The sequence below is a fragment of the Homo sapiens genome, chromosome 1 (genome assembly GCF_000001405.40).
Source record: "Homo sapiens chromosome 1, GRCh38.p14 Primary Assembly".
NCBI lineage: Eukaryota > Metazoa > Chordata > Mammalia > Primates > Hominidae > Homo > Homo sapiens.
The window spans coordinates 197,407,239-197,427,079 of NC_000001.11; the positions used below are offsets into that span (position 1 = coordinate 197,407,239).

General features: G+C 36.6%; 1 protein-coding gene across 14 annotated transcripts in view; it reads left to right on the plus strand.

The window, feature by feature from the left end:
• CRB1 (crumbs cell polarity complex component 1) overlaps window positions 1–19,841 on the plus strand; it is a 276,952-nt gene that overhangs the window by 205,735 nt on the left and 51,376 nt on the right. For 13 of the 14 annotated variants that reach the window (NR_047564.2, NM_001257965.2, XM_047416573.1 and 10 more), the window contains one exon: window positions 13,762–14,718. Coding sequence is in view for 12 of the 14 variants with exons in the window: in NM_001257965.2 (NP_001244894.1) it covers window positions 13,762–14,718 (957 nt within the window). In the remaining 2 variants the exon portion in view is untranslated. The remainder of the gene's footprint in view (window positions 1–13,761; window positions 14,719–19,841) is intronic. The other variant, NR_047563.2, reaches the window with a different exon arrangement.

Here is a 19,841-nt window from a genome sequence, read left to right on the forward strand (position 1 = left end):
GGACATAATGAAATCTACTCAGTTAATAGGCAGCATATGGTATAATCCAAGTATGTTAGAGATTTCGGGTTTTGGCCAAATAGAAGTTTTAAAGAAATATTTTGGTGAAGTAGTTTCTGCCTTTTATCAAGAAACCTCTATCAACTAAAGTTATTTCTTCTAAAAGTCACTGCCATTTTTTAGGAACAGTTTAAATGCCAATCCAAAGCCAGCTTCTTTGAACTGACACATTTACATGGGTAGATAAAATTTGTGTCTCTGAAAGTGTTTTATTTCCTGCGATCAGAGCTTCTTAGCTTTTCCAGATCAAATATTCCTGTGAAAATTTGTTGAAATTTTAGACCAGTTCTGAGGAAGAGTGCTAACAGAATTACCTGGTATGCTCATAAAAAATGCAGCTATCTGAGCCCGATCTTGATTCACAGAATCAGAATTTCTAGTGATGTGTCCTAAGATTTTGCATTTTAATCACACCCACTCCCACTAAGGGACTCTTATGATATTATATTTTATAGAGTCAATACTATAAATTCTTCCCCCAGAAAATGCAAAACAACAAATCAAAAAATATTACATATATTTTCAAATGATTTACAGACCTGTCATGTCCATTCATGGATACATTAGATATCTGCAAATGCCAGGTTTACAACCTTTGCATTGAATAAAGACTAAAGTTGTCTTCCAATACATTAGGCTCTTTATGCAGGAGAAAAGACTGAATGCATGTTCATTTTGATTACAGCATTTCACACATTTCATCAAGATATATACTTTATAGCAGTACTGTATTATATAATACCGTACACTAGGAAGTAAACATAGAAAGAGGTATTCACACTTATAAGAGTTACCATGCAGTTGAGGAAAGTAAATCACAAATATTAAAAAAAAGAATACAATGTACTCTGTGCTGGGTTCCATATGGATAAGCTCAGATGTTCAAGGACAAACATGAGTGAGAGTTACCAATAGAAGGCATTTCAATATGGGTAAGTAACAATTGGGCAGAACTGTGAAAGAAAGTTGGGATTTTTAAAAAACTGAAGAGAAAGTAGCAGTTGAGCAGAACTCTGAAAGAAAGTTGGGATTTTGAAAAAACGAAAGAGAGAGAGAAAACTTTGAATGTGTTTTAAATTTTATTCTACTAAAATATATTTTAATACAACCATTTATGCAGTAAGCAATGGGAAATAATGCTGGGAGATGAATAAAAGCCAGATTGTGGAGGGCCTTGAATGTCGGGCCTTACCAGGTCAATAATATACTTGGCCTTTGATATTTTCATGGCTGTACAAAATTAAAGTATTAATAAATTTGCAAAAAATGACAAACAGCACTGCTAAAGAATGTAAAGCCAGTTCTTACCATGGCAGAGAGAAAGCCAACATTTCTTAGAACAGCAACATCCAACTCCATACAAGACAGGTTTTTATAATTCACTTTAACTTAAGTGTTTAATCATTCACTTTTGACAAGACAAGGGAAAAAAGGACCAAGCAAGAGCAGAGCCCTTTCTGATGATTTACTGATCAAAGCCAATTAGGATAGTTCTGGTTGAACTGGGTTGAGTTTCTCTGAAATTACTTTTCAAAGTAAAGTCAACAAGAGTGAGCATGTGCAGTGCTGTACTTTCTACTTGTTAGTCCGTAAAATAACTAAAAATCACTTACCTATATCCACTGAGCTTCAAAGTATGACTTTTGAAGTGCAAAATCAAGTGAAATGTGAAACTGAAATGCAAGGCTTTTTGCAGCTATTTTGTCTTTCGTTTGAAGATCTCAGAATACTTTCCACACAATAGACTGAATCAAATCTTCCTCTGGGCTCAGTATTTTTTTTATCTGAGCTACCATATGGTTTTGAACAAATATCAGGTCTGGAGAGTGTGTATATGTATCTCTTGCATCAGAACTTTAGAATAGTATAATCATAAAGTAGAGCAAAGAATGGATGCTGAAGAAACAATTCCATGCTATACGCTGTACACACACAATCTTAATATACAAAATAAGTTACCAACATAGTAACACCACATTTTTCTGATATTAAGGTTGACAGTGACCCACATAAAAGAGCTTTTGGCATAACACATTTTTATAATTCTTGTGGGAAAAATGTTTTTTTTAATCATTTCACATTTAAATATTTCAGAAATATATTACACATTTTCTTGCATTTCTGGTTTAAAAATGTTGCATACAATTTTGTATCTTATTGACGACAATGTTATTATTTATTGTCCTATGCTCTATAGATTTTGATTTTGTTCCTATTTTCAATATCTTCAAGGTACTATACTTTTTAATATTATTTTATGCCAGCTCATCATATTATTTTTTCGGAGGGAGCATGTTGTAGAGAACAAATGACTTATCTCAGGAGTCAGGCAGACTGAGTACCAACCACAAGTTGGCTTGGTTTCATCATCTGTGAAATGCAGGTAGCAATACATGCTTCATCATTCATTAGAATGATTAAATGGCCACATAAATAAAGCACTTACCACAGTGACTGGCACAGATCTGAGACTCAGGAAGTGTTAGTTCTTTCTCTTTTTTTTTGAGACGGAGTCGTTCTGTCGCGCAGGCTGGAGTGCAGTGGCGCAATCTCGGCTCACTGCAAGCTCCGCCTCCAGGGGTTCATGCCACACACCTGCCTCAGCCTCCTCAGTAGCTGGGATTACAGGCGCCCGCCACCATGCCCGGCTACTTTTTTTGTATTTTTTAGTAGAGACGGGGTTTCACCGTGTTAGCCAGAATGATCTCGATCTCCTGACCTCGTGATCCGCCCTCCTCGGCCTCCCAAAGTGCTGGCATTACAGGCGTGAGCCACTGCGCCCGGCCAGTAAGTGTTAGTTCTATCCACTCACATTCATTTTCTAGTTCTCAGCTGTCATTTCCTGCTGGCTGAAAAGGTACACAAAGTTATCCCTTATCCTTTTCTTTTGCTGATTCTATTCCACTGCAAGCTGAAATATTTGATAATCAAGCTTGCTTTAATTGTATCTAAAATAGTAATGAATGATGGATTAAGGCCTGAGGAAATAGTTAACAAACTTCGCCATCTCCAGTTTTAAACATAGACACTTTTAGGACACATCTTCGTTCTTGATTATGTTCTGCATAGTTGAGGTCACGTACAGGGACTGACCTCCAGAAAAGTAAAATTTAATGGTAATCAATACGGAGAAAAATTGTGGACATGATGAAATCTAACTATGTTTTTAAGCAAATAAAAATAGAGTTAGTGAATTATGGCAAGACAAGCAACATTTGATAAGCACCTATGACCTGGAACCACATGCTATGAACAATTGCCTCATTTAATCCTTATTAGTGGCCTTCTAAAGAAGTTACTGCTCTTCCCTTTTTACAGATTTTTTAAACTGTGACAAAATTATGAATTTATGAAAATGTCAACTCTTATATTCAGCATATTTTCCACTTATAAATTCTCTACTTAGAAATTATTCATGCGGCATATTCTTTACTTAAAATTATGATAGAATCTTAGGACTGGGAGAATCACTAGAGGCCATTGAAATACATAACATACCTTTTCTTAAATTTCGATGATAATATCCATGCTGAATGATGATTCTCTCTAAATCTGCACAGCTTCAATGTCAGGAAACATACTGTCTCCCAAGACAGCTGGTTCTATGCTTGATGAGCATCAACTGCTAGAAGATTCTGCACAGTGAGCATAAATAAACCATCCAAAGGCTTCTTACTGTTGGTACTAGTTTTCACAGTTAGAAACAAATAAAACATAAAATTCCATGTGTTAGACCTTTAGCTACATGAAGACCCTTCTGATATGCCCTGGTATCTGCTTTTCTCCTGGTTAAACATTCAATTTTCTCCAATAATTTCTCTAATGACATGATTTCAAGTAAAATCACTATCATATTAGCTTTCTTTATTGGAGTGTCCATATCTTATCGCTGTCTCCTAAAACAAAAATATTTCGAGTTCAAATTGGGAGTTAGAAAGGGATTTTCATTTCCTTTGCCCCAGATACTATCATCGGTCATGACAGCCCCAATGTCACATAAAATTTGGAAAGTCACATCACCATGGATCCATATTTCAAAGATAAGTTGAGGTAATACAGAATAAAGTAAACCATAGGCTGCTGTACATTATGTAAGTGTTAATAATAATTATTAGTAAATTATTATCAATTGAAACTCATAGGTCTTCACCCAATAAGTTGTATCTCTTCTATCCAGTTTTGTGGTTTCTTCACCTCAAGTGAAAAGAGTTAACTCTTTACTTCAGATTATAGAAAACTGTCTTCTTTAGTTGACATGAGATCCCTGGCTTGCCTGCTTTATATCTATTCCATTCTGTCCCAACCAATCCTATTCTATAGTTTCCCCCATTCCTCATTCATTTTTCTCCTTTCCTTTTGTACATCACTCTGATATATTAGCTATATAGACTCATTTACATGTATTCATGTAAATTATTAAGGTTTGTGTATAAGTATATATTGTGTTAAAGTTCTCATTTTCTTTCTTCCTTTTTTAACTTTTAGTTTAAGTTCAAGGGTACAAGTACAGATTTTTTTACATAGGCAAACTTCTGTCATGGGGGGCTGTTGTACAGATTATTTCATCACCCAGATGTTAAGCCTAGTACCCATTAGTTATTTTTCCTGATCCTCTCCCTCCTCCAAGCCCTCTAAAGGTACATCTCTTTGTTGTATTGGAGAAGAAAACCTTTTTCAGCCTCCCCCTAGCAGAGCACCCCTCAAGTCCTATTGACCAGGATTGGGTCACATGCCCATGACCCAGCTGTAAAGGAGTGTGTGAAAGAATATATTTGACATGTGTATTCTATACGGTGGAACACATTTCTCTCTGTAAGGAACAGGCATGGGACATGCTGGGGAATGACTACTAGAGGTAACCATAATTTCTGCCTAAGGATGGTCATTATTTTTAACAGGTTCATGTTGCCTATAAATTCAATAAGTATGCCTTATATATTTTTATTCAAGTAATATTTATCCAAGTTCACTTATGCTGTCTACAAAAAAGTTGGTGAAACTCCTTTGAATGACTAGCATGCTCCAAGCATTTATAGTTATCTCATTTGGTTCACACAAAAATAATTGTTTCATAGGCTTTATTATTTCTACTTTATAAGAAATTTCAGCTTAAATAAATTAGCTAATTTACCCAAGTTCTCATAGCCTAGTATCAAAGCTCCGATTAATATAAAAGTCAGTGTCATAGTCTGACTCCAAGTCCATGTTTATTCTACTTCATTATTTTGATTCCCTGAGGGCTATTAGAAATGCCTCTCCAAGTAGGTCCATTGATCAGAACCCTGAATATGTTCCCTCTCCTTCTTACACCACCTTCACCCTGTAGCCCCCAATAGATACATTTCCTCCTTTGGTCCTCAAGGCTGTTGTCTGCTTAGGCTTCCCCACTACTATAAGCTTGGATAAACTGTATGCTTCAAAAAGCAAGATTATATCTATTTTTCTTCACTATCATATCTCCTGCACTCACATAGTGGCAGTCAAACTAAGGCCTTGATAAATAAGTTTTAAATATGAATGAATAATAAATGAATGAATACATGCACTATTGCAATGTCTCTTGCATCACACGTTTTCTGCCTTATTACTGGTTTCCATCACAACTTATCTGACCTCAGTTACCTGGCGATTATTTTTTTTAACTTGGCATACACTGCCCATGATAAGGCACTAATGACTATTTCATGATACAGTTACTGCCCCTCTCAGGTAACATTTTCACCTTTACTGAGGCTTCTAAGAGACAAGGTCTCAACCTAAAGGAATTGCTCTGATTGTGAGAATTTTAGGGAGTATGGTAGTTCTAGGGGCTTCATGACCTCTCAGCTTATACTGCCTATGTGAAACCTCTCTAGGTCCTCAGGTTCCCCTTTAAGAAAATGTTAAAAAGAAACAAAAAAGAATCACTTTTTTTGTTTGTACTCTAAGTGTATCTCAAACACCTCACATATTCAAATTATTCTCTTGTACAAAATTAAATGCCATTGGATGTAGAAGGAGTGGAGCATAACTGGTCTTTCATAGAGGCTGGAATTTCTCTGAGAGCACCACACAAGTAACTCTTGCCACAGTCTCAATTAATAAAAGCCTTTACTCTTTTTTCTTAATTTTTCTTTCCTTTCTATCCCTTGCATAGATACTTAATAGATTTGAAGTTGCCATTAATTTCTTAACCACTATTCAAAAGGAAAACAAACAAAAGAAAACAAAAACAAAAACAGCATTTCCTTTGTTGTAAAGCAAAATAAAATCAGGCCCTAATTTTCCACAACAGAAGTTGTCCAAAATACTTATCTGTGTTTAGATTTCCCAAAATTCATTTCTTCATAATAATACTGTCAGCGTTCAGTGTTGTGATCATAACATTCACTAGTGTGACTTAAAAAGGGGAGGCACCATGTGTTAAGCAGGGATAGGATCTAAGAATAACAAATCTGCCTGGTAAGCAGCACAAATGAGTCTTACACTAAGCCACACTGATCCAGCTTGGAGGGAAATGAGTCAAAACCAAGTCCCCATACTCTCTACCTGCGAGAAAGAGGTGACATTGAAGAACAAGCCCACACTTCTGGATATGGTCCAAAATGATCAGAAACTCACTCTGTCAACCTAGTAGGTGTTTGGATGGATACCTCTTTTTTAACAGAAAGATGTTTGGAGCCAGGACACATGGTTTTCACATTTTAATGGCAATGCTCATAGGTAACTAACTCTCTTCTTATATACGCTAATTTGCAACATGCTTAGTGTTTTTAAGATGTTTATTTAGCAACTATTGTTTAATGCTATAACAGATATTACTATCAAATGAAAATTCAAACTTTTGAGAAAGGAAAAGTGGATATATTTATGCATTGAGTTTTTGGCTTTAGATAATTTCTACTTTGATTTCTATTTATTAAAATTTTTAAAATCCTAAGTCAATCAAAACAGATCAAGATGAAACTTCCTCATTTGTATATGTCTTTGTATATATGTCTAGTATATATATATCTAGGGTAAATTATATAACTTCATATTAGATATTTCATTAACCATGGCTTCAGCAAAGTGAGAATTATGACAAAAATCATCTTCATATCCAATGATATTAATTCTAAATATAAAGTCTACGTTCCTTTTATCCATTAATATGATTTATTCTCAAGGAAATATGAGATATACCAAGTGGTAGAAATTTTTGCTATCATGATTATTTTTGAAATACAGTATTATTATGGAATCAGATACTGAACTAAAAAAATTTTAGGAAAGTAAAATGAGGTGACAGTTTTTAATTAATTAAATTAATTGACTTTAAGCAAATAACAATAAGCTTCAAGTAATCCATCCCATACTATAAATAATTGCACATAAATAAGCAATTTGTATTCAACTAAAATACCCAATTAAGAAGACTGAATGGCCCCAATGGTCCCATAAATATGTCCTAATCCTTTTATCTTGATTGACAACAGATCTTGTTCTTTGCCCAGCTCCTCCAATAACCAATAGGAGACATTTTTATCTTTTTTCCCACTTTTAGTTTTCTGGGTTCATCAAATAAATATGTTGGACTTTATTTTACATTGGACATGTCAATAGAATTGATTTTAAGTGAAGTAAAAGCATAAATCGCTGTTTATCATTCTACTTTTCATACCTAATTCTGTTTGCTGTTCTTCGGACTATTGATCTTAATACAGGCTTTCTCTCCTTTTTTTGTTCTTTTTAAAGTGATGGTAAAATTTAAAACTTGCTTTTCTGTTTATATTTAAAGAAACACATAATCAAATTATTGACATTTTATGAAAGATCAAATGCATAAATTTTAGCAATCATAAGAAAAAAAACAGTAGGCAATGGTATAGAAAGCATGACCATCTGCACTTATTTGCCCACAAAGGATAAATGAGAGTGTACTGTAAATTGTAAAGAAATAAACATCTTATTTCAAGCTCTAATAAGCTTATGTGTCAATAGTTTTAATAGCTGCCTAGTTGGTCTTCCTGTCTCTACTTTCTTCCCACTTCATTCTGTTACATATCCCTGTGAAGGTGATCTTTATGAGAAACCATGTTGGTTTTCTGTCCAACAATTACGTATGACTCCCCACTGCCAGAAAATAAATAAATACAGCTAAAAACCTCGTAAGTTCCCAGACCTTCTCCACTCTGGCTACATTTAACCTTTGTGTGTTTATTTTTCTAGGTAAATTGTACATGCCAACCAGATTGCCAAACTCATTGTCACCTCTAAATGTTAAGCTTTCCCATCGATGAGTGTTTTGTTTATTCACTTATTTACACACACAAAGACCTCTTTTTCTTTTTTCTTTTTTTTTTCTTTTTCTTTTTTCTTTTCTTTTTTTTTTTTTTTTTTTGAGACAGAGTCTCACTCTGTCGCCCAGGCTGGAGTGCAGTGGTTTGATCTCGGCTCACTGCGAGCTCCGCCTCCCGGGTTGACGCCATTCTCCTGCCTCAGCCTCCTGAGTAGCTGGGACTACAGGCGCCCACCACCACACCTGGCTAATTTTTTGTATTTTTAATAGAGATGGGGTTTCACCGTGTTAGCCAGGATGGTCTCGATCTCCTGATCTCGTGATCCGCCCACCTCGGCTTCCCAAGGTTCTGGCATTACAAGCATGAGCCACTGCGTCCGCCCACAAGGACCTCTTTATCAACTTGACCTATATTTGAAAACCTATATTAAATTCTATTTCTATAAGACCTTCCCAGCCAGGCCTGAAGAGATACCCTTCTCCAGAGGCTCTGCAGCAGCTACTGCCCAAACTATTCACTTAGAATCTATTGTGTACTGTCTAGTGAAATCTCTTCAGTATTGTCTTGACTTGCACTATCATTTAGTTTTTCACAAATTTGTCTTACTTTTCCTTTATTAAATTCATTGAGGACAGGGACTAGTTCGAACTTCATGTTATCTGCAATATTTTATACATGATATGTAATCAATATTTATTGATTTGACTTAAATTTAATATGAAGATTTCATATCTAAAGATGTTTCATTATCTATCATTCAAAGTATTTTTCCTAAAACTTTCCTAAATATGCTCTAATGTTGCCTGAGTTTTATTCTCATATATTATCGACATCTGCTGGGAACATACTATGTACAATGCATTTTCATAAATATATATTTTGTCCTTCCATTATATTGTAAATACATTCAGGCTAGGTCTACGTCTTCTAGTTTGTAGTCTGAGAGTACTCTGAGAGTACATCATAGAGTAGCTATTCTATAAATTGAGAAAATGGTCAATTGAAATTTCATCTAAGGGGTCAAGATATGGTTGCTGTCAGGTACCAAAGTGAATTATGAAAGAAATAAAAACACAAGATGTTAAAGTAAATACAGATAACAGACTTTAGGTTTTTGAAAGGTTTATACTTTTTTATTTTTTATTTTATTTTATTTATTTATTATTTTGAGACAGAGTCTCGCTCTGTTGCCCCGGCTGGAGTGCAGTGGCACAATCTCAGCTCACTGCAACCTCCGCCTCCCAGATTCAAGCTATTCTCCCACCTCAGCCTCTTGAGTAGCTGGGATTACAGGCACACGCCACCACGCCTGGCTAATTTTTGTATCTTTAGTAGAGACAGGGTTTCACCATATTGGTCAAGCTGGTCTCAAACTCCTGACCTCATGATCCACCCGCCTGGGCCTCCAAAGTGCTGGGATTACAGGTGTGAGCCACCGTGCCTGGCCAAAAGGTTTATACTTATGTCAGGGATGTGTGAAAATTCTTCAGAGGCAATTTGAAGGAGTGGGTCTATAAGGAGATTTCGTTGGAGAGGCTTGCTGCTGTGTTGTGAGTTGAACCTTACTCATCAAATTGAGGGCTGGATGCCACATTCTAAACCAGAGTGACCATAGCTTCCAGGAGTGCTCCAGTGTCATCTAAAGTTGGTGGAAGGGAAGGAACAGGAAACTTAGACTAGATTCTCCACCTGCCTGAGGAATCCAAAGATGAAAAAGCGTGATGACTCTTAACCCGAGGTGTCAGGAAAGAGAGAGAAAGAATTGCTGCTGTGCTGTGTTGGAAAGTAAATGTGCTCCCCTCCTACTGCAGGTTAAGGGTACGTGAATCCTGTGGTCTAGATGGGGAACCCATGGTAGGAGCATTAGTAGGCAGTTTGTGTAAAAATAGTTCTTCCCAATAGGCCTCTGTTGGAAGGTCAAAGAATCCCACTAAAAGAGTTGATAAAGAAGGAAGAAGGAGTAAACGTCAGTAAACCAATAGCAAAGGGGTTGAGGAAGGAGCAAATATGAGCCGCCAGTAAAAAGAGAGGCAACGTCTGCCTGCCTTCACAGTTCTCTAGAGTGAGTCTCAGCTGCAGGAATAGAGTGGGCTCCAAGGAAGTCATAAGTGTCCCTTATAACAAATACCAACTTTAAACACCTCCCAGTCTCAGAAACCATGGAGCCATATTGTATCAGTCAAGTGAATAATTTCTGTGCCCCCTTCCCCCTTTTTTTGCCACCAAGTTCAGTCTTCTAGGGGACAAAACACATAAATCTGAAGATGGAGACAATGGAAGGATAGAAAGAGGGAAGAAGGCTTCCAAATCTTCCTTCAAGACAGCCTGAAGTTAGCCTAGCAGACAAAGACGATTTTATTCTAAATTGCATTGAAATTTTTGATCATTATATGTGACTGACCATTCTTATTGCTTTGTTTTTTTTTTTAAGAGATCGTGACACTACTATCTAATAGTGAGCCGAAAAGTCCTGGGGTCTGCTGAAGACTTATCTAGAGGCAATGAAACCCTTCCCCAGTTAAATATGTTTCAAGATAGGGTAGGAGAAAAAATCGTGTTTTGCTTTTGTTATGCCATATCAGTTGTTCAATAGTTTTACCCTCAATCAAATACTTGTTATTAATTTTTTTGTTCTTAAAATCCTTTGAAAATCAAGTTTAAGTAAAATATCTTCTAATACAAAAGTTTCAACTTTTCATATTCAGTTATATTAAACTTGTATTGGAACACCCCTTTAGAATATACTGTAGTTTACCTGTAATTCCTGTGTCAGTTTTCTGTGCTTCCCAGGATAATTGTATAACAAATAGATTACTTCCATTCAGTTCTATTCTTTCTATCCATCAAACATTTAATCATTCATACCCTTAGCACTGTACAGGTGCTGTGGGCGTCTCTAAGAAAGATTATAATATGTCCACGGTTTTCACAGAGCTTGAAATATTTTTGAATTGACAAAGCTTGTATGAAAGTAATCCCAGTACAGTAAAATATAAGTACAGTAGAGTCCAATCAAGTGCCTAGACGTGTAGATCATAAATGGCAGTACATCGTCAGATTAACATTTCATACGTTTGTCTAAAAGTTTACACAAAAAGATCACTTTGGTTTTGGATCAGATTAAATGCATTATATAAATATTTAATCACTTTAGGAAGGTCATGATGAATTCATTCATTCCAAAATTAATTACTAAATGGTGAATACAAGCCAGGTACTATGCTATGTTTTAGACATATATTGGTGAATAAAACAGGCATTTTCCTTCCTTCATGGAAAGCACAACTTGATGAGATTCTAGACTAATATGCTGTCCAAGTAAATTTCTCATATAAAATTACGCAATTTACAGGACACTACACATGCCCACACTTTCTAAATAGTCTCTCTCAATGACTACAGTACTATTTGAATTTTGTCATTAGAGGGTAATTCTTTCCTACTACTTTTTAGTATTGGCCAAAACTTATTGAGAACTTGTTATATACCAAACAATGTTATGAATATTTACATGTCTTAACTGGTTTAATCTTTAAAAGAGCCTCGTGATGTAAATACTATTATTAATCCCATTCATAGATGAGGAAACAAATATAGAAAGTATATGTGACCTGCTCACAATCAAGCAGCATAGCTGGGGTTCTGATCCAACATTATCAATATAGGAATCTTTGGTTTAAATTTTTAAAAACACACATTTGGGCATAGAGTTAAATGGAAAAATAAGACATGCATATTAATAACAAACAATAAATGAGAATACACTAAATTATTAATTAAAAAACTGTGTGTCAGATTGGATTCTTTTTTTTTTTTTTTTGAGACAAGAGTCTCGCTTTGTTGCCCAGGCTGGAGAGCAGTGGCATGATCTTGGCTCACTGCAATCTTCACCTCCTGAGTTCAAGAGATTGTCCTGCCTCAGCCTTCAGAGTAGCTGGGATTACAGGCATGCGCCACCATGCTTGGCCAGTTTTTGTATTTTTAGTAAAGATAGGATTTCACCATGTTGGCCAGGCTGATCTGAAACTCCTGGCCTTAAGCAATCCACCCAGCTAGGCCCCCTAAAGTGCTGGGATTACAGTTGTGAGCTACCGAGCATGGCCAGGTTGGATTTTTAAAACCTAGTTAATTTAGGCCAGGTGTGGTGGCTCACACCTGTAATCCCAGCACTTTGGGAGGCCGAGGCGGGTGGATCACGAGGTCAGGAGATCGAGACCATCCTGGCTAATATGGTGAAACCCCATCTCTACAAAAAAAAAAAAAAAATTAACCAGGCGTGGTGGCGGGCGCCTGTAGTCCAAGCTACTCGGGAGGCTGAGGCAGGAGAATGGTGTAAACCCGGGAGGCAGAGCTTGCAGTGAGCCAAGATTGAGATTGCACCACTGCCCTCCAGCCTGGGCGACAGAGCGAGACACGATCTCAAAAACGAAAAAAAAAAAACAAACAAAAAAAACTAGTTAATGTAGGGTCTGATGTTAGAAGTGCTTTGGAACTTAGACTTCACTCTTTCTACACCTCAATTTACTCTGTGAAAGAGAACTAAGAATATCTGCTTTGAAAACCTCAGAAAATTGTAGTGAGCACAAATATAATAATTTGAATGAAGATGTTGGGGAAACCATAAAGTCCTACGCATATGTCTGTTCTTATTGTTACTCTTTGTTCATTTGAATCTCCCTGGAAAAGCAACAGCCACGCTTATTAAAAGGTGTTATACGTATTCATATTACTTTTTTTAAATGAATTCTAATAATTCCCTAATTAGATATATTTTTTGACTTGGAATCAGAAAAAAAAAGTAGAAAGTGAAGTTAAAATAATAAACAGGAAAGGAGCTTGTTATGGTATAGACATCATGTTTTACACTGGCATTGCAGGGAAGGAGGAAATGGGGCCTTCCATTCACCTTAGAAGTCCTTCATGGTGAGAGTTGTTTGGACTATTTATATTTCTGGCAAACTTTTAGGAATTATGGGGAAGTATAAACAAGATATAAGGCAAAATCACTGTTTCCAAGTAGAATAGAGTGAAATCTGCAGCCAGGGACAGAATATACAATGTCTGAGAAAAAAGTCTCGAAATAAATAAATTGTATCTTACATCAGTGCCAAGAGCGATCTTTTTTCTTGTTTTTGTTTGTATGATATTCAGTGCTGCATGTATATCTGACAGTGATAGTTGGAATCAATCACAGTATTTGGCAAATTATTCCTAGAGGAAGAATACAAAGCCTGCCATGACTGCATCTTTTTTCTTCATGACACAGGTGGAATATAGAATTGATTTTACTTTTCCTTATTAAGTGTTTACATTTTACTCCATTACAGTCCTAAACCTGAGCTATTCATGCACTTCTGCAAGATTATACAAGTAAATTACGTGAAACTTCTATTTTTGATGTGAATATATATAATTTTAGCCCTTTTTTATTATTTAACAGGAATCCACTGCGAAGAAGACGTCAATGAATGTTCTTCAAACCCTTGCCAAAATGGTGGTACTTGTGAGAACTTGCCTGGGAATTATACTTGCCATTGCCCATTTGATAACCTTTCTAGAACTTTTTATGGAGGAAGGGACTGTTCTGATATTCTCCTGGGCTGTACCCATCAGCAATGTCTAAATAATGGAACATGCATCCCTCACTTCCAAGATGGCCAGCATGGATTCAGCTGCCTATGTCCATCTGGCTACACCGGGTCCCTGTGTGAAATCGCAACCACACTTTCATTTGAGGGCGATGGCTTCCTGTGGGTCAAAAGTGGCTCAGTGACAACCAAGGGCTCAGTTTGTAACATAGCCCTCAGGTTTCAGACTGTTCAGCCAATGGCTCTTCTACTTTTCCGAAGCAACAGGGATGTGTTTGTGAAGCTGGAGCTGCTAAGTGGCTACATTCACTTATCAATTCAGGTCAATAATCAGTCAAAGGTGCTTCTGTTCATTTCCCACAACACCAGCGATGGAGAGTGGCATTTCGTGGAGGTAATATTTGCAGAGGCTGTGACCCTTACCTTAATCGACGACTCCTGTAAGGAGAAATGCATCGCGAAAGCTCCTACTCCACTTGAAAGTGATCAATCAATATGTGCTTTTCAGAACTCCTTTTTGGGTGGTTTACCAGTGGGAATGACCAGCAATGGTGTTGCTCTGCTTAACTTCTATAATATGCCATCCACACCTTCGTTTGTAGGCTGTCTCCAAGACATTAAAATTGATTGGAATCACATTACCCTGGAGAACATCTCGTCTGGCTCATCATTAAATGTCAAGGCAGGCTGTGTGAGAAAGGATTGGTGTGAAAGCCAACCTTGTCAAAGCAGAGGACGCTGCATCAACTTGTGGCTGAGTTACCAGTGTGACTGCCACAGGCCCTATGAAGGCCCCAACTGTCTGAGAGGTGAGAGAAAGCTGAGTGCTATGGCTAGGAGTGCCATGCCTCAGAGCAGAGCAGAAACAGCAAAAACAGCCAGACTGCTTCTGCCTGCTATGAAACATAATGACCCCACAAGACTTCTGCTGCTGGTTGCCCACTGATGAGAAAGAAAAGAAGAGGGCAGTGATGTGCGTTAATTAATTTTGAGTGGATTCATAGGACATCAGTTTCACTCATACAGAGAAGTAAAAAAAATAAGCAGATAGCTCTTTTCCAAAGAGGTTTTCATCTTTGTGTTTGCAAAATGCTACTGCAATTTTACCATTGGTCACATATCAGAAATTTATTGTAAATCTTATTTGAAAGAGAAATAATCTTTTGAAAAAAAAAAACCTTAGACATAAAATTTGTCAGTGCCACATACTAGCATGATATCTTGTGCATAGTAAATTCTCGGTAAATATTCATTTCCTTGCTCTCCTTTCCATGCAATTCACACTTGCTCCACAATCATAATTAAGCATAGCGTTTTTATAAAACGCCAATTTTATTCAAAGGTATCTTTTCCAAGGTTGCCCTGGAGAAGACAGATAATATACTAGGTGTCTTAAGAAAAAAAAAAAAGAAAAAAAAATGTGGAAAGTAACAATAGTAGAACTTGGTAGATGCCATAAACTAATTGATCTAATTTCTCTAGTAAACCACAGTTTGCAAAGTATTTCAAAATCCTTAACTTCCAACATTGTTCTAGAGATTGCTGTTGATAGTGATCAATATATACCTGTTTCTTTTTATTATTATTATCATACATTGAAAAAGTCTGAGAGGTAATTGTAACGGACTGCTTTGAAGTTCAGCTGTAATTTACCCCAAGATTTTAGAGTAACTTGAAGTAGGACAACATCTGGTAAGTAGTCTTCTCTGCTTTATATGAAGTAAAATTAAAACCAGTCTTAGCCTATACTCTATTCCATGTTCAAATGTCTAAGAATTATTAGAAACTACTCAAGGGTTTCCCCCGACCACAATATTCATTACAAATCACGGACCTGTTTGACAATGAAGTATGGTATCTACTAGCTCTACGTAATATTTTAAGTAGAATGGCAAGTTGTTTTGTGATTTTTTTTAAGGAGAAAAAGGGAAATTATGCTGAGGCAATGTTCACTTTTTGAAGAAAAATTTAATTGACCTAAGGCAATATTTTTACTACATATACAAAATAACAAACAGATGCTGACTCATTTTGACTGGCTTCCAGATGCAGTGACCCATGAGGTTAATACTGACCATGGTGATGTTAACTGTCCTAGTAAATAGATTCAAGAGATGCCAATCCACTGGGTTCTGGTTTTCTTTATTTTATCCAACTTGGAAAACCATGAACTTTTCAAACCAAGTTCCTGAATTGGTTACCCTTCCCCCACTTCTCCCAGTTTCCTTATACTCCAACATTATTTGAAACTGCTTAACCCTCAAGAAAATATTTGACTTCAAAAGATCACTTTACAGACAGAGAGAGTTCTGTGAAATCTTTTCTTTCTGAAAATTCTTGGTATAAATTTAAGGAAAATTATATTTTTCATATCACCTCTTCATTATAAAATTAAAATATTCTGTATTTTCTGTTATCTTGAAGGAATGTTTCCTGGAGAGTTTATTCCCACTAAAAACTGCTTTTAAGTGGTAATGAGAACATGGAGTCTTTCTGCTACTGTACATATACGTGCAAGAGGGAGGAGACATACTAAAAAGCACAAAGGCAAACTTCAGCCCATTCATGACTTGCACTCATATTTGGCTCAATGTTTTCCAACCATGGTATACATTTTAATGAACAAGGAGACTGGATAGAGGATTTTGGTGGCTGACTAAACACAAAAGACATAGTGATTTCCAATGTATCAAGGTTGATCTTTTTTAAATAATCTAATTTCTCAACAGAAAGAGTGCTGAAAAGGATTTAACTAAGCTTAGGTCACAGAAGTGTCCATAAGGTTCTCTCAGCATATCTTGTGTTGACTGTTTGTAAGAACATGCAGCATTCAAGATACTACTACTCAGAATAAATGGCATCACCTACCTCTTGCTCTCTGGTGAACATTTGACTTACAAAAGCAATTTACATATCTCTTCTTTTCAGCCATATACCTAGATTTTGAGAATTTTATTCTCTTAGAATTATAGTTTCCTAGATATAGAAAAAGATTCATTCTATGACTGAATTTTTAACACAATTGTACCTGCCAAATGTAGTGGCTCAAATCTCTGCTCAAACACCTTCACAAATAGAGAGATCACTCACTCCATCTTGCCAAAAATTGCCCAAAAGTTATTTCCTTATATTGAAATAGAATAGGATTTGCCCGTAGCTTTCCTTCATTGACCTTGTTGCATTTCTGGAACACATGCAAATAAAAATCTCAACTTGCCTGCTGCTTGAGAATACTTAATATCTGAAGAAAAGTATCTCGAGCCATCTAAACCATCACTTCTATTCAGGCTAAACATCCTGTTTCTTCTAATGTTTGCCATATGACATAGTTTTCCGACACTTCATCAGCTGCTTGCAGGTTTTGGAATATATTTGCTTCTTTGTATTCCTTCTAAGATGTGATGTCTGTATGTGCTGGATGATACAGTGACACACAGGGCCATAACCTCCCTTATTCTAGATAATGTGCTTCTGTTTTTCAGCTTAATACAACATTGACTTTTTGGCAGCCACACTTCGTGATTGCGTCACTTTGTATCATTGTCACTCATGATGCCACATAGTCCTGTTTCTCCCACTCTAATCTTATAAACGCACATTTAGATCGAAGTGGCTCTTATTTATTCTTGTTAAATTTCATCTTGTTGTATTCCATCAATCATTAAAGCTTGCCAAAATTGTTTTTTATCTGTATGTGTTGTTCCTCTTCATGACATGTCAACCACTTGTATGAGTATCACCCTTCCAAATCCACAGCCAAGTCATATGTCTTCAGGTGTTTCTAAAGTCATGTAGCAAATCACACATGCTGATTAGTTGCTTGTGATTTCTGAGAAATAGGATTGCTGAAGAATCAGGCTTCTGAGAAAAAAAAATACTCTGCATTTTGGCTTTTAATCCAGATCCACAAAGTGATGCTGAAGGCATCCTGGGATGACCAGCAGGCACCCCGCTACCCCTGAGGTTGAGTGATTCTGGGCATATCTTCAAACCTCAGGGGCTTCAAGGGCCAAATTTTCTTATTAAGCATTTTATCTCATATGAAAGTGCTGCAGTGTATTCAGAGATGTTAACCTCTTCAAAGGGGTTATTTTATCTAACAGTACACTTTTGAAAGCTACCGGTAGTTGCCTGGAGCAGGTGGTCTCCAAATGCAGATTCAAAATGCAATGTTCCTGTATTAAATCAAGTCAGAGTTCTGAAAATATAGCCTTTTATGCAGAAGATCTTCAAACACAGTTGATTGTCTAAGCAAGTTTTACTATAGTTAAGCTAAACTAAAATGTGTCTTACCTTTGCCCAAACTTCAGCTGGGCCATATGATGACATTTAGACATGCTGAAATATGCTCTTTTTTTCTGGTTAGTACTGGGATATAAAATCTTGAAGACAGCAATATCTTGAAGACAGTGATCTTGTCAAGTTATCAATGCTTTCTAGACTGCAAAATCAATGGTCAATTCTGTCCCCATCTTACTTGATTTCTCAATACCAGTTAACACAATTAAACACTCCCTCCTCCTGAAAAACTATTTTCTCACTAGGCTTATGGGACACCACACTCCCTTGGTTCTCCTCTTATCTTACTGGCTACTCTTGCATCATTTCCTTTACCTCTACTTGTCTAATGCCCAAGGACTTACTTCTTGGACCTCTCATTTTCTCTATATATACTCATTCTCTTGGTGATCTCATCCAGTCTTGTGGCTCTAAATATCTAATATGGTTTGGATGTATGCCCCCTCCAAATCTCATGTTGAAATGTGATTCCCAATGTTGAAGGTGGGGCCGATGGAAGGTGGTATATACTAACAAATCCCACATTATCAGAACATCCTGCCTGAACCTCTATATCAACTGCCCACTAGTCACTTCTGCTTGGATATCCAAAAAGGCATCTCAAATTTAATATGGACTCCCACCTCACCCAAAAATCTTTTCCTCCAGTTTTCTTCCGTATCTCTGCAAATAGAAAGTCCATGCTTCCAGTTGCTTAGGCCCAAAGCCTTAGAGATGAACTTGCTCCAGAAAATTCTGTTGTATCTACCTTCAAAATATTTTGAAAATCTGACCACTTTTGACCACTTTCACATTACCACTGATCCAAGCCATTATCATTTCTCTCTTGAGTTGCTACAATAATGTAGTATAACTTTGGGCTTTTGCTCAGATATCACTTTCTCAGAGTTCCTCCCTGATTGTTCTATTTAAAATTACAATTCCACCCCTCCAAATCGCCCTATTCCCTTTCTCTACCTGACATTTTATACTAAAGGATTTCTCACCATCTGACATATTATATAGTTTGCTTCCTTGTCTGTGTCTGGTGTCTTTCCTCCAACTAGAATGTAAGCTTGATGAGGATGGGAAGTTTTCTTCCTACTATGTCACCCATATTTTACAATGTCAGTTTTTATTTTTATACATCTCAAGAGTTTTCTTGAGGTGATGCACATCAATAGCATTGCCACAGATGAGCATCACTAACTCCTCTGACCACAGGAAATGCAGGGTGGGTTTAATACTCAGCTTTGCCCCAAGTTCTCTGTTTCCTGTGCCTTTCCTACTCCCAACCAGGACCACAGAAGGAAGGGTCCTTCTTTTTCCTTGTTCAACTGCCTTGCTTCTTATGTGAGATGTCATCCCAAGAGAAGATTTAATCATCTAATTCTTGATTTCTGTTGTCCCAATTTATGTTATTTACAGACTAAAAACCTGAAGTTTAGAAAGGTTATGTAACTAGCCTAAATCACATGTTAATAGCAGACCTGGGACAAATACATTCCAGGCTCTAAAAAATTTCTTTACAAAGAATAATTAGGTTTAATGACATGTTTGCTTCAGCATGCCTCTAAGTAGCAAAGATTATGACTCCCTGCACAGTCCACTTGCAGAGGGTTGCATGAAGTGCCCTTGTCCAAAAATTTCTTCC